This window comes from Homo sapiens, chromosome 17 (genome assembly GCF_000001405.40).
Source record: "Homo sapiens chromosome 17, GRCh38.p14 Primary Assembly".
NCBI classification, from domain to species: domain Eukaryota; kingdom Metazoa; phylum Chordata; class Mammalia; order Primates; family Hominidae; genus Homo; species Homo sapiens.
The window spans coordinates 1895854-1922898 of NC_000017.11; the positions used below are offsets into that span (position 1 = coordinate 1895854).

The following is a 27045-nucleotide window of genomic DNA, read 5'->3' on the forward strand; positions in this document are numbered from 1 at the left end:
TGTATTTTTAGTAGAGACGGAGTTTTCACCATGTTGGCCAGGCTGGTCTCGAACTCCTGACCTCAGATGATCCACCCGCCTCAGCCTCCCAAAGTGCCAGGATTACAGGCATGAGCCACCGCGCCCAGCTTAGTTATAGTTATAATCAAACAGTATTGAGCATGGTCTGCCAGGTAACTGTTCTACATCCTTTACGTGGAACATCTCACTTGAGCCTAGTAACCCTATATGTAGAAACTGTGGTTACCCTATTTTGCCACTGAAGGAATTACATACAGAGAGACACGGGCATTCAGAGAACAAGTCACTTGCCTAAGTTGTATGCTAGCAAGTGGTCGAGCTAACGTCCAACCCAGGCAGCCTGACTTCAGAGCTTTGCTTTTGATCATGCTTACGAGTATCACGGGATTTAGTACCGACCAAGCACACAGCAGTGTGACAGCCCCGAGCTCGCCTGTGCAGCCTTCCTGGGTATCACTCCGTTCTGCCCGGAAAGGCACCATTCAGGCCGTGAGTGTAAACGTACGAGTGGGCAGGGGGAGTGGTAGAAACGCCCCTGCTGATTGCAGGGTTTACTCACGTATTTACCTTAACGCCCGTTCTTCTGCGACTACTATAAACATTAAATGAGATAGGGGATCAGATGTCACCGTGAAACAATGTCAGGGAGTGGGGTGGGGCTGGGGGGGATTTTTGGGGCCATTCAGCCCCATCGTGTCTGGACAGGGAAGGTGAAGTGAAGAGAGGCTGCCTCCCCAGAGCTGAGACAGGACAGACTCGGTCCTCTCCCTCTGCTGCAGGTGCTCTTCCTTTCACCACTCAGCTTTTCTTGAAATGAAAGTTTGAAAGTTTAGCTTTCAGAACTAGCTGTGTGGCTTTGTGCAAGTCACATGTCCTCTCTGGGCTGTATCCCCTGCAGTAGGGAGAATAAATGAAACTAGAGAAACCCTCTAAAGTCCATCTCACTAGGATTCTAGGCTTCTGGGTGTTTGGGAGCTTGGGTAAAGAATCAGAAGGGCCTGTGCTGGAGAAAGGACCTGTTCACTCGCCCAGCCCCAGACATTCAGGAGGAGGCTGTCACTCACTGGAATGACTGAACTCTGAACCCGTGCGTCTGTTCCCTCCCGCTGGGCTCACTGAAACCACTGAAGCAAAAGGGGTTTCACTGCTCCACACCACACTTTCACTGCTCACAAACTACTTCTCCCTTTTTGAAGGACGAGTCTCGAATTAAGGCCACTGTGATGGACGTGAAGCCCGTGGACTACAGAGAGTATGGCCGAAGGCTGGTCATGAGCATCAGGAGAAGTGCATTGATGTGAGAGGAGCAGTGCCAATCGGGCAGAAGTTTGCAAATAGGCAGAATGGAATCGATTTCCTCCCACCTCCGTGTGACGATCCCATGTTAGCTACACAGTGCAGAGGCTCTTGATGGTGGACTAAGCAATTTCCCCCCTCGTGCGCATCTCAGAACCCATCGGTAGGCAAAGGAAAATACGCTCAGGTGGTTGTGGTGTAGACTGTGTCAGGCCTACGGAGTCAGCCAGTGGCTAGCGCAAGACCAGTCACTCCCTCTGCCTTCAGGCTTCTGTCAATTTCATTATCATCAAGCAGGAATTATGTCGTAAGTCACTGACCCTAACTGCAGACCATGAAGTAAATTATGTAACTAGGTTTTTGCTTCTCCAGTGGTGACCACCCCCCCCCATCCCCGCTCACAACTTGGGTTCTTCTCAGCGGGGCGAGCTGAGAAGCGGTCATGAGCACCTGGGGATTTTAGTAAGTGTGTCTTCCTAGAATTCGAAGGCTCTCTCTTTCTAGAGGTGCTACATAGTTGGTAATGCTTGGAATGGCAATAGGGTAGAATGATTAATCAAAGGCATATCTTCTATATCTGAAGAGTATCCTTCCTTCAGGGTTTAATAGACTGAGTCAGATGGGTCTGATATTAATCAAAATTGTCTCTTCTGAGGACCGCTGATAAGCATTGACTTGCCGTCCCCTAAGGAAATCCGAGCGGCTACAAAGCGTTTCTTTACTTCTCACTTCAATTAATGCTGCGCTTCGCTTGGTGAGTGCGTACTTTTTCTACCTGTACACATTCCTGCATTCATGTATTTTGTTTTTTTTGACTAAAGCTATGTTACATGGAAAGGATTTTGAAGCCTTTTGTTTCCCTTGCTTTGTTTTAATAAACAGTATATTCTTTGGTTGTGAATCCTACTTTCTTTGAATGCAAAGAGTTCCTATAACTGGAAAGCAATTAATTAGCCTTCATAATAAATGTTCACTTGGGGGGGATGTTAACTCATTATAAACCCGAAGATTAGTCCAAGGCATGGAGATCCTTCTTCCTAGTGTTTGCAGCCCTGAAATGCATCTTTCAAAGCATGAAAACACTAAAAACAAAAAGCCATTTTGCCTGAGGATGCTGATGATCTGGCACTTGGGATTTTATTGATGTTTACGCAGCAGTCTAACACCAACCACGCTTTGAAATGTGTACAGACAGTGAGCTGGTAAGAAAACAGTAATTATGCTAGTGGGCCTTTCAGTCAGCAAAAGCATGCTCGCTCTGTGTGTTCCTAATCATATTAATTATCTATCCGGTGGCTGCAACACACCGCCTGCCATTGGCCGCACATCTCGCCGTCGTACCCCGGCAGTGCGGCGGTCACTCTGCAGCCAGAGGACCTGCTGTTCATCACTGCACATGCCGCCTGCGGAGGCTTTTGGATATGGGGAGTGATGGTGTCCTGTCTGTCTCCCCCCTCGGTGTCTGCCGTTGACATAGGGGCCAGCCAGCCCTAGACGGGATGACTTCCGTTCCTGAGGACAGACACAGAGGGACTCCTGCTCAGCCTCACTAATTGTTTAGACACATTCCTTCCTACCCTTCTCTAGTCTCAGGAGATGGTAACTGGGTCGCATTTCAGTCTCTGACTGAGGCCTCAGCCATTTTTACGGAAGTTCTTTTCTGTCTGACCTTGCTTATAAAGCATCGACGAGAAAATTACAGTCTTCAACCCTCTTCTGGATTGACAAATTGTGGCTGGGAAGTGGCGATCTAGCTTTCAGCCCAGTAACCAGTCTTTCATGCCTACTACTCCCAGCATTCCCTCCTCTCCCCACGTGTCTGTCCACACAGTGAAGAGGCCTGACCAGCCGTGGTACCAGGACAGGACGTGTCCAGGGAACGCTGACACCTGTCCTCGCGCCTTCTCAGTGGCCAGCGTGATGAAACCAGCACGTCTCCGTGGATGTGATTGGGAACCCAGGGGCAGTGCCAGGGGGAGGGCTCCCTCGAGGAGGCTGTTTCTAACAGATTTCCCCACTCAAAGATCAGATCACCAGCAGAGGAGCATCAGAAACTGGCTCCACTGTTGGGCTTTTCAGAGATTTTGGTCCCTGCGGGTTGCCTAAATAGATTCTGGCCCACAGTTTACCTCGAAAGGCTGTTGATGTTGTTCTGTTTCTCCTCTTTCACTTAGAGATCAATGTTGATTTTGCGTACACCATGACATCAGCGTTAGGCAATTAGGAGAAAAAAATCTAATCATTTCGCCTTTATTTCAAGTGGTTCTTGAATTCCCTCCAGTCTCATTGTGAAAGGGGCAGGGAAAAAAATAAAAGGGTAATAATCTGATTTCTGTCCATATTTCCAGTGTTTTATGCTTTCCATTAAAACCTTGCTAATCTCTCGCGTGCTGTTCCTTTTTTGAACTGCAGGGTCAAAAATGTTCCCCTCCCCCACTTCTGTTTCCTGAGTGGGCTGTCTTCAAAAAGTATAAATACTATTGATCGTGGTATTTAATACACTAATGAAACCCATGGTTATTGACTACATAATTAATATACTGTCCAAAAGTGAAGTTTGGCCGCCCAGTATGTAAAGGTTTATATTGACTCATGTTTCTTTGGCAATATGCCGCCCAAGGTTTTATTTATAGAGGATGAAACAGGTTGTTTGGTCTCCTTTTCTTCTTTTCACCTGTTAGAAGGCCACTATTCCCCTAGTAAACTGATTGTTTCCTTGTCTCAAAGGGAAGATTCCCCCCACTCCCCGGCCACCTTTTATGTGGTTTGTTAACTCTTAGTCTTATATCCACTCCGCTGGTAGAGTTCTGGCTTTTATAAACACCTTTGGAAGTCATCGGTTCCTCAAAAAGAGAGCATAGATGTTTAATTTTCACTTATTCAAAAAAACTGGTATTTTTGTTATTAAGACATTAAGTAAATGTTTAAGAAAAAAAAGGATAATTTGGACTATTGACTTTCTTATGCAAGTAATCATATTTGTTTGTTTGTTTGTTTATTTATTTTGAGACGGAGTCTTGCTCTGTCACCCAGGCTGGAGTGCAGTGGCACGATCTCAGCTCACTGCAACCTCCGCCTCCCAGGTTCAAGCGATTCTGCCTCAGCCTCCTGAGTAGCTGGGACTACAGGCATGTGCCACCATGCCTGGCTAATTTTCTGTATTTTTAGTAGAGACGGGGTTTCACCGTGTTAGCCAGGATGGTCTCGAACTCCTGACCTTGTGATCCACCTGCCTCGGCCTCCCAAAGTGCTGGGATTACAGGTGTGAGCCACCGCGCCCGGCCTCCATGTTTATTTTAGGAAAATAATCTACAGTTAAGAAAAACAAAATTGGCCTGGCACAGTGGCTCATGCCTATAATCCCAACACTTTGGGAGGCTGAGGCGGGCAAATCGCTTGAGCCAAGGAGTTCGAGACCAGCCTGGGTAACATAAGGAGACCCCCGTCCCTACAAAAAAATAAAAATTAGCTGGGCGTGGTGGCACACACCTGTAGTCCCAGCTACCTGGGAGGCTGAGGTGGGAGAATCACCTGAGCCGTGGGAGGTCAAGGCTGCAGTGAGCCATGATTGCACCACTGCACCCCAGCCTGGGCGACAGAGCGAGACCCTATCTCAAAAAAAGGGGGAGAAAGGGTGGGTGCGGTGGCTCTCCCTTGTAATCCCAGCACTTTGGGAGGCCAAGGCAGGTGGATCACCTGAGGTTAGGAGTTTGAGACTAGCCTGGCCAACATAGTGAAACCCCACCTCTACTAAAAATACAAAAATTAGCCAGGTGTGGTGGTGGGCTCCTGTAATCCCAGCTACTCGGGCAGCTGAGGCAGGAGAATCACTTGAACCTGGAAGGCAGAGGCTGCAGTGAGCTGAGATCGCACCACTGCACTCTAGCCTGGGCGACTGAGCGAGACTCCATCTCAAAAAGGCAAAAGAAAAATAAAATTACTTAGGATTTCACCAACCAGTAATAAACACTTGTGTAGCTGGCTACTTTTTTCTTCTTTTTTTTTTTTTTTGAGACAGAGTCTTGCTCTGTCGCCAGGCTGGAGTGCGGTGACACGATCTCAGCTCACTGCAACCTCCACCTCCCGGGTTCAAGCAATTCCCCTGCCTTGGCCTCCCAAGTAGCTGGGACTACAGGCATGTAGCTGGACTACAGCCTGGTAGTTGGGACTACAGGCATGTGCCACCGTACCCAGCTAATTTTTTGTATTTTTAGTACAGATGGGGTTTCACCATGTTAGCCAGGATGGTCTCGATCTCCTGACCTCGTGATCCGCCCTCCTCGGCCTCCCAAAGTGCTGGGATTACAGGTGTGAGCCACCGTGCCTGGCCCTGGCTAGTTTTTTCTATGTATCTATGTGTATAGAGTTTAAATTAAAAATGGTAGCATAGTAAGCATATCATTTTGTAATGATTTTCTCCTAGGATGGGCATCTTTATTTTGATAAAAATTGCATCAGAACCACCATTAGGCCAGGTGCAGTGGCTCACACCTATAATCCCACACTTTGGGAGGCCAAGGCAGGTGGATCACTTGTGATCAGGAGTTCAAGAGCAGCCTGGCCAACATGGTGAAACCACATCTCTACTAAAAACACAAAAATTAGCCGGGTGTGGTGGCTCACCCCTGTAATCCCAGCTGCCCGGGAGGCTGAAGCAAGAGAGTCCCTCCCCGTGAGGCAGAGGCTGCAGTGAGCCAAGATCACACCATGGCACTCCAGCCTGAGCGACTGAGGGAGACTCCATCTCAAAACAAAAAAATCACAAACATAATTAAAAGATTTACTAATCATTAATAGCTTTAGATAAATAATTTTAAGTGGTGTTTGGCTCTTTGGATGTGTTTTCAGCCAATTCACTCTTGCAGGATGCTTATACTTTTTCTAATTGTTATAAATTCAAGATTTCACGAGCAGAAGCGTTTATGCTTTGTGGCACTGACAATCCATGCCTTTTCTTGTTCTGTTAGGTTCTCTCATTGATTTTTCTTTGCCTAAGTCCAGGGATAACTCCTCTAACCCTGTGTACCACCAAGGGCTGGTAGGTAATTTGAGCAGGTCCTTCCTTGGAAGCAGGTAGATTAATGTAGGGAGGGGAGGGAAAAAGAAGGCTTTGGAGCCCTGGTTTCATCCTGCCTACTACACAGACGGGGGCTGTGCCTATGAAGAGGCGAAACTCTTGTTTCCCACCACCCTGGCAAAGAAGGCCTCTTGAGAATACATTTGACTTGCCTATAAATCAACCTGATTATCTAAAGCTATTAATGATTATTAAGTCTTGTAATTATATTTGTAATGATGGTTTTGAAAAGTCATTGAGAAAAGTATGTAGCCACTCGTCTTCATGGTTCCAGCCTGTCAGTATGTGACTTTATTTTTTGAGATGGAGTCTCTGTCGCCCAGGCTGGAGTGCAGTGGTGCGATCTCGGCTCACTGCAACCACCACCTCCTGGGTTTAAGTGATTCTCCTGCCTCAGCCTCTTGAGTAGCTGGGACTACTGCACGCCCAGCTGATTTTTTGGGGTCTTTTTGTTTGTTTGTTTGTTTGTTTTTTAGACGGAGTTTCACTCTTACCCAGGCTAGAGTGCAGTGGCACAATCTCGGCTCACTGCAACCTCTGCCTCCCAAGTTCAAGCAATCCTCCTGCCTCAGCCTCCCAAATAGCTGGGACTACAGGCGCCCGCCACCATGCCCAGCTTATTTTTTGTATTTTTAGTAGAGACGGGGTTTCACCGTGTTAGCCAGGATGGTCTCAATCTCCTGATCTCGTGATCTGCCCGCCTCTGCCTCCCAAAGTGCTGGGATTACAGGCGTGAGCCACCACGCCCAGCCTTAGTATGTGACTTTTTTTTTTTTTTTTTTTTTTTTTGAGATGGAGTTTCGCTCTTGTTGCCCAGGCTGGAGTGCAATGGCGTGATCTTGGCTCACTGCAAACTCTGCCTCCCAGGTTCAAGCAATTCTCCTGCCTCAGGCTCCCGAGTAGCTGGGATTTACAGGTATATGCCACCGCGCCCAGCTAATTTTCTATTTTTAGTAGAGACCATGTTGGTCAGGCTGGTCTCAAACTCTCGACCTCAGGTGATCCGCCCACCTTGGTCTCCCAAGGTGCTGGGATTACAGGCGTGAGCCACCGCGCCCAGCCAGTGTGTGACTTAAAGATATCTGTCCCTGAGAGCTATGGACTATTTAGAGCAAGGCTTGGGGGCTAAGTAGTCATATCACAGTGATATTAAAATGCAGTTGAGGGGGAAATTGCTGGAAGACTGGAGTCAATCAGGAAAGACTTCACAAAGAATTGGGTGATTTGAGACTCACTGATTAGAGCCTTCATTTAGGTCGGGGCTGTCCGGTCTGTATGAGGCAGACCGAGAGCAACACTGGTAACAGTGGCATGCGCTGTGTTCGTCACTGACACGAAGCCACGCGGTGCCACGGAGGCTGGGTAGAGGTACTGAACGGAAATGGGTTCCTGGTGCAAATAGGACAGTGTTTGACTATGGGCTGAGTGAAAGTTTCTTTTTTTTTTTTTTAATTTTTTATTTTTTTGAGATGGAGTCTCTCTCTGTTGCCCAGGCTGGAGTGCAATGGCACGATCTCGGCTCACTGCAACCTCCACCTCCCAGGTTCAAGCGATTCTTCTGCCTCAGCCTCCCGAGTAGCTGGGATTATACAGGCGTGTGTCACCACATCTGGATAATTTCTGTATTTCTAGTAGAGACAGGGTTTCACCATGTTGGCCAGGCTAATCTCGAACTCCCGACCTCAGGTGATCCGGCCTCCTCGGCCTCCCAAAGTGCTGGGATTACGGGCGTGAGACACTGTGCCCGGCCAGTAAGAGGTTCTTGTGTTATCCATTGCCATACCCCTAACCTGCATTGGGTTTGTCGTGACAGTGTCTGACTTGCCAGTGAGCTCGTGGGTGTTTGTGAGAGGCTTTGAACCAGCCACCTGGCTGCATTTGCAGCTTCTCAGGCTCTTAGTAGCTGTCGCTTTACACCCTCTCCTTAGCTGTTGATGAGTCTCAAAATGTATACTTTTCAATAAAACAAATCTTTTTTTCAGCCTTGAATAGACCCTGTGAAAAACTGAATCCCACCTGCCTCGTGAGAAATATTTATATAGCCAACTCAGAAGTGATCGTGTAAACTTTTAATAATTGCGAGCCGTTCTTATAAAATTATGCCCGTTCCCTAGTGCATTACCCAGTTGGTAATTGGAAGTTTGTGCTGTCATTAAAAATGACAGCTTCCTCAGATAACATTCTCGGTGCTTGTAAAATGCAAATAACCAAACCTATATTTAACTTATGTGTGTTGCAGCTTCCTTTCAACGGCCAGGTAACCTAGGGGGCTGGTGCCTGTTAAAGAGGAGGGCTTGCCGCGGGGAACTGCAGCTTTGTGCTCTTCAATGCCCAGCCCTGAAATGGAGTTAGAACAGGCAGGACTTTTTAAAAATAAGCCCCAGTTGGACTCTCATCTCCTCTCACCGTTGACACTGCTGTTCATGTTGAAGTTTATTTATATCTTCAGTCAGCCATGGTACAGAGGTCATTTCCATTGGCCTAAAATTTTAGAGGCTTATATGTTTGCCTGGGAAAGCTGATCTCCTCAGCACTTAGGCTTGTAATGCAAAGCCTGTCTCTTGCAGAAGCTTTTCTGCTTCCATAACACGGCGACTCCCACCGTCACCACCACCACCAATTTCCTGCTCCACGATTTATTCAAAATCTGAATAGCTGTATAAGGTGCATCCCTGCAAATGAGCTCTCCTCCTCTAATGGGCTCTTTCCAGGCAGCAAACCTTTCACAAAGGAGCCACTAATTAAGCAAAAAACAGTTTGTCTTGCTTAGCCACGTTTCAGGAGTCCAGCAGTCAGTTTAGAAGACGGCAACATCCTTTACAGCCGTGATGGTAATAATATTCTTTTGTCTCATACCAGGGTCTCTAACTGGCAATTTGGGTGTCTGGGTGTGCGTGTGTCCCTGTTCTGTCTTGCTCTCCATCTTGAAGAGGAAAATTTGTTTCCGTGGACTTTTATTTTTTTGGAAATCCTTGTTAAAGTTACTCTGTAAGGATCAAACCCACACCAAGCCTTCCTGGTTGGAAAGAGGCGCTGCCTGAGTGTCGATTTGCAGTGGGGGCACGCGCAGGCTCTCCGGGAAAACGCCTGTCAGTCAAAGCGGCTCTCTCGTGAGAGCGTCTGACTGCTCGGTTCCCTTCCATCTCCGTCTGCTGGAGAATTGAAGGTGTTAGCAGGTTCACCGGGCAGCAACGCTCAGACCGATGTGCAGGCCACCGCCGCATGCTGCACGTGCCTCCTAATAGAACCTTGAGCTCCCGCAGCCAAGCCTCATTTTGTGTGTGTGTTATTAAAGTGCCGGTGACTAGGAAAAGCAGAGCCCTCTTAATTAGAGAGCGACATCCTTGCATAGTGGTAGTGTTCCGTTTGTGGCATAATTGTCACAGCAAATTACCAGTTAGGTTAAATATTGGGCTGGTAGTTCTCAGCGCTTCCATTCTTGGCTCCACCCCGCCCTCCCCACCCTCTCCTACCCTCACCATCACCTGCTAGCCTGCACTTTTAACTTGATCTTCTGCCAAGTGATAGCTTTTAAGTGAGGCTTAGAGCAGATACACTTTACAGCAGGAGCAATAAATCTAGCTTTGGGCAAGTTACAGGATGCCAGGAACATCTGAATGAGGGGGGCAATTTTTGCTGTGTGTATGGGGGTGTGCTGGGTCGTCTCGTGGGGCTCAGCTATAAAACTGGGTCCTCCGTATATCTGACATGGTGTCTGTCCCGTGAGAAGATACTTGAGGTGACACAAGAAATGTGAAGGAAATAGAAGACCTGGTCCCTTCTCATTATCCGTCCATGGCGGGGGGGGAGCCTCACAAAATGGAAGAGCACTTTCTATAAGCAAAACCAGAGTGACACAGAGGATGCTGAGTACGTGGTGTGTGAAGGGAGTCCAGTGAAGGAGAGCGGACAGTCTGGTGGAGGCAGACAAAAAACCTATGAGTTGTCATCGTGAAGTTGCAAAAAAGGGATTGGCTGGCCGGGCGCAGTAGCTCACGCCTGTAATCCCAGCACTTTGGGAGGCCGAGGTGGGTGGATCACCTGAGGTCGGGAGTACAAGACCAGCCTGACCAACATGGAGAAACCCCGTCTCTGCTAAAAATACAAAATTAGCCGGGGTGGTGGTGCATGCCTGTAATCCCAGCTACTCGGGAGGCTGAGGCAGGAGAATCGCTTGAACCCAGGAGACGGAGGTTGCAGTGAGCCGAGATCGCGCCATTGCACTCCAGCCTGGGCAACAAGAGCGAAACTCCGTCTCAAAAAAAAAAAAAAAAAAAAAGGATCGGCTGGAAGAAAAGTCCATTTCAAACTGAAGGACTGGCACGTTGCTCAGGAGCCAGTAAACCAGGTGCAGGTGATACCAAGAAAATTAGCTTGGTTTGAGTGGTGAGTCTTTGTAGAAAAATAAATGAGATTGCTGCACACTGGGAGGGCGGCCTGGATCTTCATTTCCTTGGAGCTTAAGACTTAAGCCCTGTGGAATGTAAGTCCTAGGAGTGTCCTTTGTCACTAATTGATCTTTCAGCTGCTCATAGAGCTGGCATTCTTGCAGGCCAGGTACACGAGAAGATAGAGCCGGAGCAGCCTGCCTCCGCTTAGCCAACTGCATAGCTGAGGAAATCCTGCCGGGCATGTTATTGGAGGGTTGTGCACTCTATTCCTCACGAGCTTCGTGCTGGGATGCTCATTTTCTCTGGACAAAGATAGACTGGCTCCCTCTCTTGTTGATGGAATGGAAATTCTCTCTTGCATTATGGTTTCTGTGATAACTTTGGTGGCGGTGGTGTGGGGATAATGAAGAGTCTCTTAATGGCTCTAGTTAAACCTGGTAATATCACTCTATCACACTGGAGCCGGCCGTGGGAATCTAACCCACTTTTGTATTCCTAAACGCCTAAAACCTGCCACTGGCATCTTCGCATAATAAGGAACCAGTCATCGCTCGTCTGTGTCCTGGAACATATTTATAAGCCTATGTTAATTTCTGGACTCCGGAATGGCGCCTCTTCCAATCCCAGCCCTCGGTCAGTCTCTCCGGATAGACTTGGGAAGTCAGGTCGTTTCAGCCACACATCACCATTCTCCGTCCCTGAGCCCGGCATGCTGGTTTAGTGCCCCCAAAGGAAGAGAACTCATTTTATTCTGGAAATTGGGAAAGTGAATTTGCTTCAGGACCTGCCTAGGTCTAATTAGTCCAGTCCGTAAGCAGGCCTGGCTCCGTGTCTGAGGCATGCGTGCACGTGGATGGTGTGTGTGCACACGTGTGTGTGGCATGTGCACGTGTGTGCCCTGGCAGCCACTATAACGTGCCCGGCAGTGGCCGCTGTTCGCCCAGGTTGGCCCAGTTCAGTCCTGCTTCTCAGGGTGGCTGGTAGATGTGGCCACCTTACAACCCCCAAAAGCCTTCCATGTGCACCCCCAACCCCCAAAAGCCTTCCATGCGCACCCCCAAATGGAGAAGGGGCCGGGTGGGGTGTCATTAGGAGATGGGGGCCACGTGCCAAGACAGAGGAAGGGGAAATGGGGAGAAAACAACAAGAAAAGGAATAGGTGGGGAGAGAGGTCATTTTAACCTAAATTAAATAATGGAAATGACCATTATGAACACAACGAGGGCAGGGATTCCGTAGCCAGAGCTGCGAGACCGTGACAAATGGCTCTCCAGGGAAACGGGGTGCAGCCTCCTCTCCTGGAAGTCAGGAAAGGGGTCTCTCCACCAACCAGGGGCGGGAGGCAGAGCCTGCGCTGCCGGATTTAGCCTGGAAGTTAAAATCGCTGAAGCAGTTTATAGAAACAGCAGAGTGAGCCGCCGCGCACAATCAGTAGGCAGGATCCAGAGACGATGGCATAAATGTTTCAAATGTGCTCAGGGTAATTAGTTTTGAATTACCATGTGCATATTTTAAACATTTAAATGATCATCCCAGGTTTTCGAAAACAGTTGCACGCGGCTTGATGTCACCTCCCCTCCCGGGCGGCCTCCCCAAGGGGACACAGCCAGGTGGGGCCTGCGGGTCCCGCGACCTCAGCCGGGGAGGGGCGCGCGCTAAGCCCGGGGATCAGCGCGGATTAGGCCGCAGCCCCGAGTCCTGGAGCAGCCGCTCGCCCGGGACTTCCCGTCCTCCAAGCCTGCGTCGGCTGTGCCAGGTTTTCAAGACGATCTGCTCAGCGTTTAGGTTTCCCATTGTGCATGAAAATGCAATTCCACGCGGGCAGTTTTTCTCCCCCGTTTGATTTCCTGGAGACCCGGGTGGCTGGGAAACTTGAAAGGTGACTGGCCAGGTGGGAACCGCGTTTGGTGTTTGAAGCCAGCCACCTTGTCCGCCAGTCTCTCGAGGCGACCTGCCTTGCAGCAACTCCATTCTCCCTGGGGTTCGACTCAGAATGCAAACGACGATTTCCAAATTCCCTAATTCCGGAGGCGCTGGGAGGGGCGAAGGTGTCAGGCCTGGACCCCCACCCCCCGCCCGCGCCTTCCCTGCCGGCTGCAGGGGCGGATCCAGGCTGCGCCCTGGGGTGTCTCACAGAGGCCCTGTCGGCGGGGCGCGGCGGGTCGGGGTGTCTAAAGTCAGATCCCTAACTTCAGACACCCGAATTTAGCATCGTGGCTTAGAAACGCTGCCCTGTGTCCCCTTCCTCCCGGTTACAAGCTGTTTCTCCAGCAGGTGGAGCTGGGAGAATAAAAACTATGAGCCTGTGCCTGGGACCTTGCAGAGGGAGCTATCTGTGCTGAAATCCTGGTTGAATGAAAATTGTTCATTATGCAAACTGTCTGGTTCAGTACACAGAGGCAGCCCCCAGGCGCAAACCCCAAGTAGCTGCTTCTTCTCTCCCCAGATTAAAACATATGAACTGCTTTGATGTAATCTTATAACAAAGCCTAATAGAAATTTTATTTCTTTGAAGTTGCCTGTCATTTCTTATTGCCCCCCTTCTCCCGTCCTATTAATACCCGTACAGTCTGGGATATGCAGCCGAGTTTAGACTGTATTTGACGATGGGAACAGTGTGTTTTCCTCGGCAGTGGTCTGAGTTATTTAAATGCAGTTACATTGCTTGCAATATGTTTAATCTCTTGGGCTTCCCCCCCGCCCACTGCTATTTATCATGTTAATAGAATGCTACAGAATATCACATTATGCAATGTGTTTAAATTGATAAATTATATTAGAAAAATATTGCATAGGCGTGTTAATGGTAAGTGGGTTTTTGTAGAAACAGTTTCTCATTAGTAGATCAGCTGCTCACAGGGTAGAAATTGTAAGGATTTGGGAATATGCTATATTTATGACCTATTTGGCTAATTAAAATTAAGGCATAATTTTAGCATGAAGTTACTGCAAGACTTTGCAGAGAGGGTGGGGAAAGAAACTTGCCCAAATCCAGTTACTTTTAAATGTCAGTTGCCATAACAACTTCACATGAGCCATATTTTTACTTGAAAATTCCTTTTAGGATTCGGTTGCTATAATAATTTGCCTCAGCTCTTTTTAGGAGACATATTTTCCAATTTTCCTTCTGTGATCATTTCAAGACTTTCATTACTGTAACGAAAAATGACCATGGAAACCTCAACTCTTCCTTTCTCCGTGTGCAGGAGCAGAGTGGTCCCCCAAAATAGAAATATAGGTTTCCAGGAGGTATTCTGTAGGAAGGTGCCCCCAGGCCATGGGGGAAGGGGCCAAGCTCTGGGGATCCATTGTTGCAGGAGCCAGTTCCCTTCTGGGTGGGAATTATGAAGCCCACAGAATTTTTTGAGGTGTGGCTGTTAAGCTTTTCTATGTCCTGGGAGTTTTGCATGAGGCAAAGGCCAGCCTGACCATCTCAAGGAAGAATGAGTCTACTCATGTATTATGAAGGCCCATTGGGGGCCGTCAGCTTGTCATTCAGTGGAACTGCTGGTATTTGATGAGCAAGTGAGGCAATCCCCAAAGTATTTACTTAGAAGCAAAGTAGTAGCAGAGTAAAGTTCAGTGCCCTTTCTTTCGGTGTTTAGCTGCTAACCTTCATTCATTAGCCAATATGACCTCCAAGAAGCACCTGCAGCTATGCTGTGTTCTGGCCACAGACACACCAGAGAGGACTAGTTTCTGCCAGCTTTCAGATCTCTCTGGGCCAACACCGTCATTGCTGAGGGCAGGCTCGGGGTCCCAAGGAAAAGGTCCCGCAAGCGGGAAGAACATTCCATTTCAAAAGGCTTCTGGTTCCTCCTTCTGGGGGGAGCATGGCTGCTCTTGCTGACTAGTGTCCCTGACAGAAGCTGTAATCGGGTCTCTGGCTTTAGGGATACCATAGCTCCTCTCTTGGGAATTGCCATGGTCCTTCCTCTCCCTTTTCCATCTTCTCTTTCTACATCAACTCTTTGGTGGGATCTCCAATGGCCACATCTTTTTTTTTTATTATTATTATTTTAGATGGAGTTTCGCTCTTGTTGCCCAGGCTGGAGTGCAATGGCATGATCTCGGCTCACTGCAACCTCAGCCTCCCGGGTTCAAGCAATTCTCCAGCCTCAGCCTCCACCTCCGGAGCAGCTGGGATTACAGGTGCTCACAACCACGCCCGGCTAATTTTTGTATTTTTAGTAGAGACAGCTTCACCATGTTGGCCAGGCTGGTCTCGAACTTCGGACCTCAGGTGATCCACCCACCTTGGCCTCCCAAAGTGCTGGGATTACAGGCGTGAGCCACCATGCCCGCAATGGCCACAACTTTTTTTGGGGAACTCTAAAGCTCGAAAGGGGACAGTGGGGCTGGGCACGGTGGCTCATGCCTGTAATCTCAGCACTTTGGGAGGCCAAGGAGGATGGATCACCTGAGGTCAGGAGTTCGAGACCAGCCTGGCCAACATGGTGAAACCCCATCTCTGCTAAAAATACAAAAATTAGCTGGGTGTGATGACACGTGCCTGTAATCCCAGCTGCTCGAGAGGCTAAGCCACAAGAATCCCTTGAACCCGGGAGGCGGAGGTTGCGGTGAGCCGAGATCACACCACTGCACTCCAGCCTGGGTGACAGAGCCAGATCTATCTCAAAAAAAAAAAAAAAAAAAAAAAAGGAAAGGGGACAGTGGGCCTCCTGCAAGGAGCAGAGCAGAGGAAAGAGGACACCTGCTTACCTCCTGCCCTCCTCCAGGGACTCCTGCACCTCCTGATGTCCTCACATGTGCAGCGAGGGGGACAGTTGTCTCTCCCATCTCACAGGGCGGAAGTGAGGATCAAATGCAGTAATTTGTGAGAAAGAAAAAACATAAAACAGTCCATAAATGTGCAAGGAATCATAATTATTATATTTTCTCCTCTGGGTGAACCAGAGTTTGGATGTATGAAGCTCACATACGAGGAAAATCAACCGGGTCCGATCCATGAGCTGCTCTTTTCAAATCTCAGTGATGTGCCTCTGGAAGAGACTTTGGTGAAGGTTTGCATCTGTTTGGGGATGTCCATCATTTTGATTGTTCTGTACACGTCCGCTGAAATGTAATACTTGACATTTCTCGAGAACCCGTTGTATTTTTTTTTTAAACCTTGTAACTGAACTATATGTTCAGGGAAATGGAAATAAAACATGATTGCTTAGTTTAGATATGAAAGTGGAGTTTCTGCTTTATCCTCACCCTCCTTTGAGGACACTCATTCTTTCCCCACTTTCCGGCCCCCAGGCGTAGAAAATAGGCTGTTCCTTTGCACATGAGGGAGGCAGCGTGGGGAGAAAGACAACGTGAGGACTGTGGTCAGGCAGATCTGGGTTCAAATCCCCCATCTTCCATTTACCTGACCTCAGAATTTATTCCCTCGTGTGTAAAGCAAGGATGATATTAACGCGTGCCTTCCAGGCCAGTTGTAAGAATTAGAAATATCATACATAAAACACCTAGCGTATCGTGGGCTAACCTTTTTTTTTTTCTTTTATGCAGCTAATTCTGGGAGACGTGGGCTATGTTTTTTAAAATGCAGTGATGGTTGCTATCCACGCTCAAGGAAAAATGGAAATTCCTTTGGTCAGTCTGGCCCAGCTGCTGGCGCCCTGGGACCTCTGGGGGGATGTTTTCATGCCTTCAGGTGATTAGCATGAGGCAGCGTCTGGAGTCTGGTGGTGACCGTCATTTCTTAGAGCTCCTGAAGGCAACTTTGGGACAGTGGGTGAACAGCATTGCAAGCAGGTTGGTTTTGACTCAACCAAAAAAAGTGCTTTCTAATGATCAGAAGCAACCTGCGACATAATAGGTTGCTTCAGAGGAGAATGAGCTGGTAAAAAAAGGCTGGTAAACGTCTGCAAAGCCCCCTGTAGGAGCAGAGCCCTGTGCTTGGCCCTGGCGACTGCGAGCTTCCGGTGAGGACACGTGAGGAGGAGCATCCCTGGTTCCCGTGCTTGGCTCAGACTTCCCTTTTGGCTCCGTTCCTCCCTGAGGGTGCCTTGTGGGCAAGATGCTCTGCTGTGGTCTCCCACTTTAGAAACCGCCTCAACGAGAAGGGACTCAGGGCTGAGTGACCCTCTGAGACAGGGACATGGTTTAGGCAGGTGTGGCCTGTCTTTGGGAAAGGTCCAATGCCCCTGTGGCTTTGTTATGGATCCAAAATTACAGTTACTCGGCTAGGCACAGTGGCTCACGCCTGTAATCGCAGCACGTTGGGAGGCTGAGGCGGGCGGATCACTTGAGGTCAGGAGTTCGAGACCAGCCTGGCCAGCATGGCGAAACCCCGTCTCTACTAAAAATACAAAAATTAGGTGGGCGTGGTGGTGGGCGCCTGTAATCCCAGCTACTCGGGAGGCTGACGCAGGAGAATTGCTTGAACCCGGGAGGCGGAGGTTACGGTGAGCCGAGATCACACCATTGCACTCCAGCCTGGGCAACAGAGCGAGACTCTGTCTCAAGAAAATAAAACAAACAAACAAAAAACCAAAATTATGGTAACCCAAGGGGTGGCCGGGAAGTTCCCATTCACAGCACAGGATCCAGTGGGGGCTGAGAGAGAAGGCTTTGTCCTGGGAGCAGTTCTCTGGGTCACTGTGGCTATCACAGTAGGTTGAACGGTGGCTACCCACAAGATACGTCCACCTGGAAACAGTGAATGAAACCTTGATGGGAAAAAGGGTCCTTGTCGATGTGTTTATGTTAAGGACTGCAGGACGAGGTCATCCTGGCTAGGGTGGGCCCTAAATCCAATGACAAGCATCCTTCTAGGACAACAGAAGAAGGAGACAGGACGCTCAGAGAAGGGGACGTGAAGACAGGCAGAGAGGCTGGAGGGGTATTCCTACAAACCCAGGAACAACAAAGACTGTGTGCAGCCACCAGAGGCCAAGAGAAAGGCACAGAACACAGCCTGGACAACACGGCGAGACCCCAGCTCTGAAAAAAAAAAAAAATGTAGCCGTGGTGTCACATGCCTGTAGTCCCAGCTACTCAGGAGGGAGGCTGGGGAGGGAGGATGGCTTGAGCCCCAGGAGGCAGAGCCTCCAGAGCCATGATTATGCCACGGCACACTAGCCTGGGTGACAGAGTGAGACCCTATCTCAAAAAAAAAAAAAGACAAGAAAAAAAGAAAGGCATGGAACAGATTCTCCCCGAGAGCCTCCAGAAGGAACGAACTGGCCAACACCTTGATTTGAGACTTCTGGCCTCCAGAGCTGGAGAGAATGAGTTTCTCTTGTTTCCAGCCACCCAGTTTGCGGTCGTCTGTTTCGGCAGCCCCGGGAACACAGGCAGCCTATTGTGTCTGTCATCTTGAATTACCCTGTGTCCTTTCGGCTGGGTCAGTGGAGAAGCCGTGGGTTCACTCAGGTTTCCATTGTATTCATTCGTAACTGGGATCCCTCACTCCGGGGCTGTCGGGTTCGAATCCTCACGGCCCAGCTCGCCTTCCTTCACCCCCCAGTGCCTTCTTCTGCGTCAGGTATGGCTGCACCCTTAGTGACTGGGGTTCTTATCACTTATCGGCATCTGATCCAGCTCCGAGGAGCACGGGGCCCTGGGCACAGGCTCCCATCACACACACACACACACACACACACACACACACACACACAGACACACACAAAAGGCACATCAGCAACTGGAAGAACAACCTTTTCAAAAATCACCTTTTGAAAATAGTGGCACCGGCTGGGCGCAGTGGCTCATGCCTGTAATCCCAGCACTTTGGGAGACCGAGGCGGGCGGATCACAAGGTCAGGAGATCGAGACCATCCTGGCTAAAACTGTGAAACCCCATCTCTACTAAAAATACAAAAAATTAGCCAGGCGTGGTGGTGGGCGCCTGTAGTCCCAGCTACTCGGGAGGCTGAGGCAGGAGAATGGCGTGAACCCGGGAGGCGGAGCTTGCAGTGAGCCGAGATCGCAGCACTGCACTGCAGCCTGGGGGACAGAGCGAGACTCCGTCTCAAAAAAAAAAAAAAAGAAAGAAAGAAAATAGTGGCACCAAGCATGCAGTAAATAGCTTTCAGCCACATTCCACCAGCCATAAATTTGATCTGTTTTGACCTGGACCCAGCTGTTTCCTCTCCTCCCGTCAGCCTCTGACTCTGAAATGGCAGCGGCCAAGTACCCATTGTCATCAGCAGTGAGTTCTCGTGGGGAAAGGCCACTTTAATGAGAGAGTTGGCACCACATCCTGCACCTCAGCATGTATTGTTCCCTCAGCAAACTTTCTAGTTAACGAGTTTGGGGGTTTTGATCTGGAGAGCACTGGGGAGAGAAGCTGGAAGGCCCAGCAGTGACATCCCTTTGGAGCCGGCATTGTCTTCCAGGAGCTGAAGATCAGCCTGCAGGGGGTCTAGAGGCGGGCCGTGCAGGTGGCATGCTGGGCAGTTCCATCCCATCCACTGCTGCCTCCGTCCCCAGCCCCCTGCTTTCTCCTAGGAGAACAGCAGAACCCCTGGGTGTGGTTCTTTGAGCTTCGATGGGCCTGCCCTGCTTTTTAGACAGAAGCGTCTCTTCTCAGTGCAACCCAGGATTAGTATGGAAATAGAGACATTTTTAGGAGGCCTCTGCTGATAGCCCCTTTACCGTCGGTGTGGGGGAGTCAGCCCCTGGCCTTTGCTCTGAGGAGCGAGGGTCCATCTATCCTGTTGCCTGGCAGGTGGTACCTAAGATGCTCTTGTATGGGACCCTGTCGCTCCAGAACATCCATCGAGATTCTCCCAGCCAGGCTCGATGTCCAAGGAGCAGCAGCCTTTCTAATTCTCGGAACCAAGAAGAACCTTTTTTTTTTTTTTTTTTTTGAGACAGAGTCTTGCTTTGTTGCCCAGGCTTGAATGCAGCAGCACAATCTCAGCTCACTGCAATCTCCACCTCCTGAGTTCAAGCAATTCTTCTGTCTCAGCCTCCCAAGTAGCTGGGATTACCTGTGCGCACCACCATGCCCAGCTAGTTTTGTATTTTTAGTAGAGACGGGGTTTCACCATATTGGCCAGGCTGGTCTCGAACTCCTGACCTTGTGATCCACCCGCCATGGCCTCCCAGAGTGCTGGGATTACAGGTGTGAGCCACTGCGCCCGGCCTAGCAGAACCTTTTAAACCTTTTCATCTCATTCTTTCTTTCTTCTTCTTTTTTTCTTGCAGTATTATTTACTGTGTGAGAGCACCAAGGATGGAACGCTGCTGAAAATGAGGGGGCTGTCAAAAACCAGAAAGAAGGGAAGTCAAATGCTGCCCCCAGCAGCAATCACTGGCAGGTGTGCCGCGATCCCCCCACTTCTCAGTGGGGTGGTCCTACCTGTGCCAGCCTAATTGCTACCAGTCTGCGGCCCTGCGTGGTAATGAGGGACCCGGGCGCTAGGGCACTCTTTAAATGATGCAACATTTAAATGACTTCCATTTACCTTTCATGCACCTCTGCTTCGCTTCTTAATTATTGGCAGCATTTGACTTCCTCTTTTGCTATGGAATCCATTTCCTCAGCCTCCTGGGGAGAGGCTGTGGCCTCCTGTGTACCGTGGGGCGGCACGTTTTGCCACTGTTGTGGCAACAGACTGTGATTTGGGGAAGAAGGCTGTGACCCTCAGGACAAGAGAGAGATGCTGGGAGAGGGGACGTCTCTTCCGTGGAAAAGCAGCATCTGTAATGGAGTCCTTAGCAATGGCAGAGGGAGGGGTGATGTGGGGAAATGCACAAAGCTGAGCGTGAAGTGTAAATATGATGATTGTTGTCTCTTTCTTGGGAGGTAAATAAATCAGCTCGATGTAGATTTGAGAGGTGGCTGGTGATGCTGTGTACTCAGCGCCCCGAACTCGGCCTCTTCAGAGTGCTTCAGATGTTGATTCATTACACCTTCCACCAGCTCAGGGAGGATGGAGGTGGGGAGAATTATTATCCCGGCTCTAAACCCGGGGACTGGGCGAGGTTAAGAGGCAGTAAGTTGGGAGGAAAAGGTGGCGGCTCCGGCAACCCAGCCAATGCTTCCGCCGCTAGAAACGTCTGCTCCACTTAGAAACAAGTCATTGTCAGGTAACCTATTTTTCGGGGTGTAATTCCAGCATATGAGGGCTTTGTCTCCTCTGTATATTTCTTTGCTTGAAAAATGTATGAGCTTATGGAGCTGGAGAGAGTGACCTTAATCCTTTACCAAGCTTGTTTGGGGGCTGAAGCATCCAAGAGGGAAAGAGGAGAAGCTGACACACTCCAGGTCCCAGCCCCACTGGAACGGAGTCCCTTTGGTACATGGATTAAAAAAAAAAAAAAACCTGGGCTGGGGGGCTGTGTTATACAGGTGGAATCACAAGGCTTATAGCCTTGAGTTTCAGGAGAGTGTGGATCTGAAATGGTTTGATCATGAAGTAACTGTCGGCCAAGTGTCCGGAGGAAGGGTTCAGCCTGAGGCTGCGGCCGCGGGTCTGTGCAGCAGCCGGTGCAGGGACCGTGGAGTAGCAGCTGGGCTCTGCGAATGGGTGGAAAGGGCAGAGTCACCGCAGGGCCAGAGTTCAACCCCAACTATAGCATGAGAAAGCCAGGCAGTGAGGGAGGGGCGGGCAGTACGTCCTCCGCAGTGTGCTGCCGTGCATTTGGGGCAGTCTTGGGCTCATCTCGCCCCAAACCCTGCCGCTCTCCTGGGGCACCTGCGAACGGGAGGTGTGAGCAGGCAAGTTGCCGGCGGAGCTCTGTCATGTGGGTTACCAAGGAGCAAGAGAATAGAGGAAGCTGCCTTCAGAATCCCCAAAGACCAATTTCTTCCAGCCCCAGCGAGTGTAGGGAGCCTCCACCGAGTCCCAGCCGTCAGGGTGGCTGCGGCTCGGCATCTTCCAATGGTGTGACAGATGGAGGTGCACCTGGCACCTCCAGGCACCTGGGGAGAGCGCAGGGAGGTGCCCTACGGCGCATGGCTCCTTCTCTGAGGGAAGGCACCTCTGGGCATGCCTGCCTGGCCAGCACCTTCTGCCCCTTGTGCATCGAAAGGGGGAAGAAGCCTCTTCCCTGTTTACTCAGCCCAAAGCCACGGGGCCAGGCTGCTCCCAGACCCACTGGGCAGGCCCTGTAGGGACAGTGGCAGTAGGCGGTTAGCCCTGTAGGGACAGTGGCAGTAGGAGGTTAGCCCTGTAGGGACAGTGGCAGTAGGCAGGCCCTGTAGGGACAGTGGCAGTAGGCGGGCCCTGTAGGGACAGTGGCAGTAGGCGGGCCCTGTAGGGACAGTGGCAGTAGGCAGTCAGCCCTGTAGGGACAGTGGCAGTAGGAGGTTAGCCCTGTAGGGACAGTGGCAGTAGGCAGGCCCTGTAGGGACAGTGGCAGTAGGCGGGCCCTGTAGAGACAGTGGCAGTAGGCAGTCAGCCCTGTAGGGACAGTGGCAGTAGGCAGTTAGCCCTGTAGGGACAGTGGCAGTAGGCAGGCCCTGTAGGGACAGTGGCAGTAGGCGGGCCCTGTAGGGACAGTGGCAGTAGGCAGGCCCTGTAGGGACAGTGGCAGTAGGCGGTTAGCCCTGTAGGGACAGTGGCAGTAGGAGGTTAGCCCTGTAGGGACAGTGGCAGTAGGCAGGCCCTGTAGGGACAGTGGCAGTAGGCGGGCCCTGTAGGGACAGTGGCAGTAGGAGGTTAGCCCTGTTGCAGAGAACCTGCCACCACCATCCCTATCTGGCGCTCTCCCTGCCCTTGGTTCTTTCCCTTCTTCTCTCTCTACCCCCTTCTCTTTTTTTTTCTCACTCAGCTTCTCTGCTGAATTCTGCATTGACATCAGCACTTCCAAAAACAACAACAAAGGAAAGTAGGTCACCGGCGTACCGGATCGGAGCTGGGCCCCGGTGCCAGCTGAGTCCGGGGCTGCGGCCCATCTCATGGAGAGCCGGGGGCGCCCCAAACTCTGCGCCACAGCCTCACACATGCAGCTTGGTTCCTGCCCTGTGTTCTTAGCGGGAAGGGGTAGGTATGCGTGCATGGCCTGTATGTTGGCATGCTGGCTCACGGACGGGGCAGCGTTGGGGTTTCTGCACCAAGGGGAACACCACGTACACTCCATACGTTCCTTCTGGTCCAGGTATGATAGAACTGGGGGTCAAGAAACCCAGGGTGCACACGCCTGCTCTTGGGACTGGGATCCAGCCTGCAAATGCACGTTGATTGACATACGTGATTGACATACGTGATTGACATACGTGTGTGCACCGGCCTGACAGCACTGCCTTCTCGGCCCTGTCCCTCCAGAGCTTCTTCACATGTAACATTTCCTCGGCTCTCTATGGTCACGGAGCTCCCAGTTCTACTTGAAAGATTACCCAACACGCTAATTGGGACTCCTGCTATGATTAAAAAGAAATTCCGGATTACAGCCACCATGCCACAGAGCTCAGGAAGAAAACAGCTCTTTATAAACCCAGCAGGAGCAGACTTTCGTTTATTTATTTTTTTTCTACCTTTGAAAGAAATTGCATCTTGAGGTTGTTTGGCCCACAATGAGTGACTCAAGTACACATAGTCACCAGGTAAGGCCCAAATTGTAAAGAGAGGGGCACTCGGGAAGAGATAAAATTACAGCCTCTTCCCCCGCCCCCGGCTTTTTAATACCTAACCGAGTTATTTCTGTAAGCCTAGATCCTGCCTCGGCCGGCGCCTTTGGCCCCCTGACCTGGGAGATAGATGCTACTGTTCCGTCTGGGTCAGCCTTCGCCCACGATAAAGCTTTTATGAGCAGCTGAGGGTGCTTCATTTCAATGAAGCTCCCTGAAGCAATTAGCTCTGGAGGTCCCCAGAGGTGGCTGCAGGGAGGGAGGATTTAAGCCGTGGTCAGTGAGAGGCAGGCACAGCTATGAGAGCAGCACTGCTGAATGATTTCACTTGCAGGGCTGAGCTCATCGCATTGATACTTTTAGAGCTCATTAGCTTGGGGAGGGGGGCTGGCACGCTGTACCGGGTCCCCTGGGCATCTGACCTCTCAAAGCAGCTCCTCTTGGACCAACAGGGAAGAAGTCCTCCTAATTCCTTTTCTACTTCCACCAAACACCCATCCCCTAGTTAAGGCTTTGAAACATTAACATGGAACCCAAACCCTCTTAAAAGGCAGCCGTTTGACTTTATGAAAATGAAACATCTCCCTAATGTCAGCTTCATTAAAAGATGTAAGAAAAGAACATCAATGTTTGCTGATAGAAGAATATAATTGTTGGCCAGGCGTGGTGGCTCACGCCTGTAATCCCAGCACTTTGGGAGGCCAAGGCGGGAGGATCACCTGAGGTTGGGAGTTCAAGGCCAGCCTGGCCAGCATGGTGAAACCCTGTCTGTACTGAAAATACAAAATTAGCTGGGCGCAGTGGCAGGAGCCTGTAATCCCAGCTACTCGGGAAGCTGAGGTAGAGAATCTCTTGAACCTGGAGGCAGAGGTTGTGGTGAGCCAGGATCATGCCATTGCACTCCAGCCTGGACAATAGAGCGAGACTCTGTATCAAAAAAAAAGAGAGAGAATATAATTGTCTTTAAGGGTAACTGGCTGGTTATTGCAGATAATTATCTGCAAATAATGGAAGGCAGGTGATAAGGAGGAAGGAGGCCATGCACACGGAGCTGGCACAGGTGAGCAGAGCCGTTGGCCCAAGTGGGGTTGGGTTGGGGCTGGGAACAGCATAAGGCAAGGGCCGCACTGCCAGACTCCTCCACAACCACCCTTCCCAGAGTTTTTGCATGCACAGAGCAGTAGGGTTGCAGAAAGAATTTGGAGGGCTTGCCTTGGGTTGCCAGCATTTTGTTTGGCCAATGAGAGACCCCAAGACACAGAAGCTGCTATGTACCAGTCCCGTTGGTTCAGAAAAGAAAGATCATTTTTACTTTTATTTTTTAGACAGAGTCTCACTCTGTCACCCAGGCTGGAGTGCAATGGTGCAATCTTGGCTCACTGCAAGCTCTGCCTCCCGGGTTCAAGCAATTCTTCTGCCTCAGCCTCCCGAGTAGCTGGGATTACAGGCACCCGCCACTAGGCCTGGCTAATTTTTTTTGTATTTTTCGTAGAGACGGGGCTTCACCATGTTGGCCAGGCTGGTCTCGAACGCCCAACCTCAGGTGATCCACCCACCTTGGCCTCCCAAAGTGCTGGGATTACAGGCGTGAGCCACTGCGCCCGGCCAAAGAAAGATCTTTTTAGAACACCCTTCTCCCTCCCCAAACCAAAGGAAAAAAAAAAATAAGGACATGATTTCAGAATAAAGGATTATCTTTAGATGGAATAAATTTGGCTTAGCAAAAAACTCAATACATTAATGTTTCGTTGCAAATCGGTAAAATCGCAATCACAGGCTCCCCTTGTCTCCAAACTAGCATTTGGAAGCCAGTGTTCCCAGGGAGCTTGGAGCCTGCCAGTTGCCACAGCTTTTAGGATGACAAGGAAGCAGATTGCCTGGGTTTAAAATTCCGTTGCTGGCGTCTTCTGGAACCAGCCGCTCCATCCTTTCCCCCACCACCCCCGCCCCGTTTTCCTTGTGTGACAGAGTGGAGGAGTAGACGATTGGGTCGAAACCAAATTGGTCAAAAGGACAAACTGGTCAAGAGCGACTATTTCCGCCGCAGCCTTGGCTGTTCCACAAGCCGGTTCTGCCAAGGACTCGTCATCCCCAGGCGGAGTGCCACCTACATGCCAGGTGGGAGGCGGCGTTGCGGAGGAGCCGCTGAGGGTGAAACGAAGGAGTCCGGGCCAGTTCTTAGCCTTTTTCAGGATCTGATGAAAAGGCCGTGCTGGCCTGCACCTGTGGGCCCAGCTACTCAGGAGGCTGAGGCAGGAGGTTCGCTTGAGCCCAGGAGTTTGAGACCAGCCTGGGCAACAGAGGAAGACCCTGTCCCAAAAATATAAATTAATTTATTTATTAATTAAAAGAAAAAAAAAAAGGCCAGGCGCGGTGGCTCATGCCTGTAATCCCAGCACTTTAGGAGGTCGAGGCGGGTGGATCACCTGAGGTCAGGAGTTTGAGACCAGCCTGGCCAACATGGTGAAAGCCTGCCTCTACTAAAAATACAAAAATTAGCCAAGCGTGGTGATGGGCGCCTGTAATCCCAGCTACTTGGGAGGCTGAGGCAGGAGAATCAGTTGAACCCGGGAGGTGGAGGCTGCAGTGAGCCGAGATGGTGCCATTGTACTCCAGCCTGGGCAACAGAGTGAGACTCCATCTGCTTTTGGCTGGGCGCAGTGGCTCACGCCTGTAATCTCAGCATTTTGGGAGGCCGAGGGGCGGATCACGAGGTCAGGAGATCGAGACCATCCTGGCTAACATGGTGAAACCCCGTCTCTACTAAAAACACAAAAAATTAGCTGGGTGTGGTAGTGGGCGCCTGTAGTCCCAGCTACTCAGGAGGCTGAGGCAGGAGACTCACTTGGACCCAGGAGGTGGAGGTTGCAGTGAGCCGAGATCGTGGCACTGCACTCCAGCCTGGGCAACAGAGCAAGACTGTGTCTCAAAAAAAAAAGAAAAAGAAAAGAAAAAGAAAAAGAAAGCTCTCTCTGGCCGGGCGCGGTGGCTCACAGCTGTAATCCCAGCACTTTGGGAGGCCGAGGCAGGTGGATCACGAGGTCAGGAGATGAGACCATCCTGGCTAACACGGTGAAACCCCGTCTCTACTAAAAATACAAAAAAATTAGCCAGGTGTGGTGGCGGGCGCCTGTAGTCCCAGCTACTCGGGAGGCTGAGTCAGGAGAATGGTGTGAACCCAGGAGGCAGAGCTTGCAGTGAGCCGAGATCCGGCCACTGCACACCAGCCTGGGCGACAGAGTGAAACTACCTCTCAAAAAAAAAAAACAGAAAGAGAAAGAAAGCTCTCTCTGGAAACCTGCACATTCCAGGGGCCCTGCATTGAATTCCAGGAGGTTTGTGAACACCTCCTTCATCTCCCCAAACTTGTTAGGGGGACTCTGGCCAATAATCCTGCATCTGGACAAACACTTCTCATTTTCCACTTCTCAGTTCAATGATATAATGACATTTAAAATCCTAAAATTTCATTCATAAATATCCAAGAAAAAAAGAAAAGGACTATTCCTTCCTTGTCCCTGTTGGAAGCTTTATTTTTTTCCTTATCAAAGTTGTTTGAATATGTGGAAACTTTACCCAAATAGGTAAAATTAATATCACTAACTGAAAAATATATATATATATATATATATATATATATATATATATATATATATATATATATTTGGAGCAGAGGTTTAATAGGCAAAAGAAAGAGAAAGGAGAAAGGTAAACAGCTCTCTCTC

General features: G+C 50.0%; 1 protein-coding gene across 3 annotated transcripts in view, besides 5 other annotated features; it reads left to right on the top strand.

Annotated features, from left to right (window-relative positions):
- The window catches only part of RPA1 (replication protein A1), a 70078-nt gene extending 65849 nt beyond the window's left edge, over positions 1-4229 (top strand). For all 3 annotated transcript variants that reach the window (NM_001355120.2, NM_002945.5, NM_001355121.2), the window contains one exon: positions 1218-4229. In NM_001355120.2, coding sequence (NP_001342049.1) covers positions 1218-1322 — 105 coding nt within the window. In that variant the 3' untranslated portion in view covers positions 1323-4229. The remainder of the gene's footprint in view (positions 1-1217) is intronic.
- Positions 8316-8365: an enhancer, noted in NCBI's record as "active region_11459". NCBI's record gives its function as "activates an Ori minimal core promoter by ATAC-STARR-seq in GM12878 lymphoblastoid cells {active_cell/tissue: GM12878}" and the evidence as "EXISTENCE:reporter gene assay evidence [ECO:0000049][PMID:35858748]".
- Positions 8446-8495: an enhancer, noted in NCBI's record as "active region_11460". NCBI's record gives its function as "activates an Ori minimal core promoter by ATAC-STARR-seq in GM12878 lymphoblastoid cells {active_cell/tissue: GM12878}" and the evidence as "EXISTENCE:reporter gene assay evidence [ECO:0000049][PMID:35858748]".
- Positions 11307-11815: an enhancer, noted in NCBI's record as "H3K4me1 hESC enhancer chr17:1810454-1810962 (GRCh37/hg19 assembly coordinates)". NCBI's record gives its function as "activates a minimal SCP1, AML or CMV promoter by ChIP-STARR-seq in naive H9 embryonic stem cells {active_cell/tissue: H9 hESC(naive)}" and the evidence as "EXISTENCE:reporter gene assay evidence [ECO:0000049][PMID:30033119]".
- Positions 11816-12323: an enhancer, noted in NCBI's record as "H3K4me1 hESC enhancer chr17:1810963-1811470 (GRCh37/hg19 assembly coordinates)". NCBI's record gives its function as "activates a minimal SCP1, AML or CMV promoter by ChIP-STARR-seq in naive H9 embryonic stem cells {active_cell/tissue: H9 hESC(naive)}" and the evidence as "EXISTENCE:reporter gene assay evidence [ECO:0000049][PMID:30033119]".
- Positions 26260-26442: a silencer, noted in NCBI's record as "fragment chr17:1825407-1825589 (GRCh37/hg19 assembly coordinates)". NCBI's record gives its function as "represses an EF-1alpha promoter that drives an FKBP-Casp9 reporter gene in an ReSE screen in K562 erythroleukemia cells {active_cell/tissue: K562}" and the evidence as "EXISTENCE:reporter gene assay evidence [ECO:0000049][PMID:32094911]".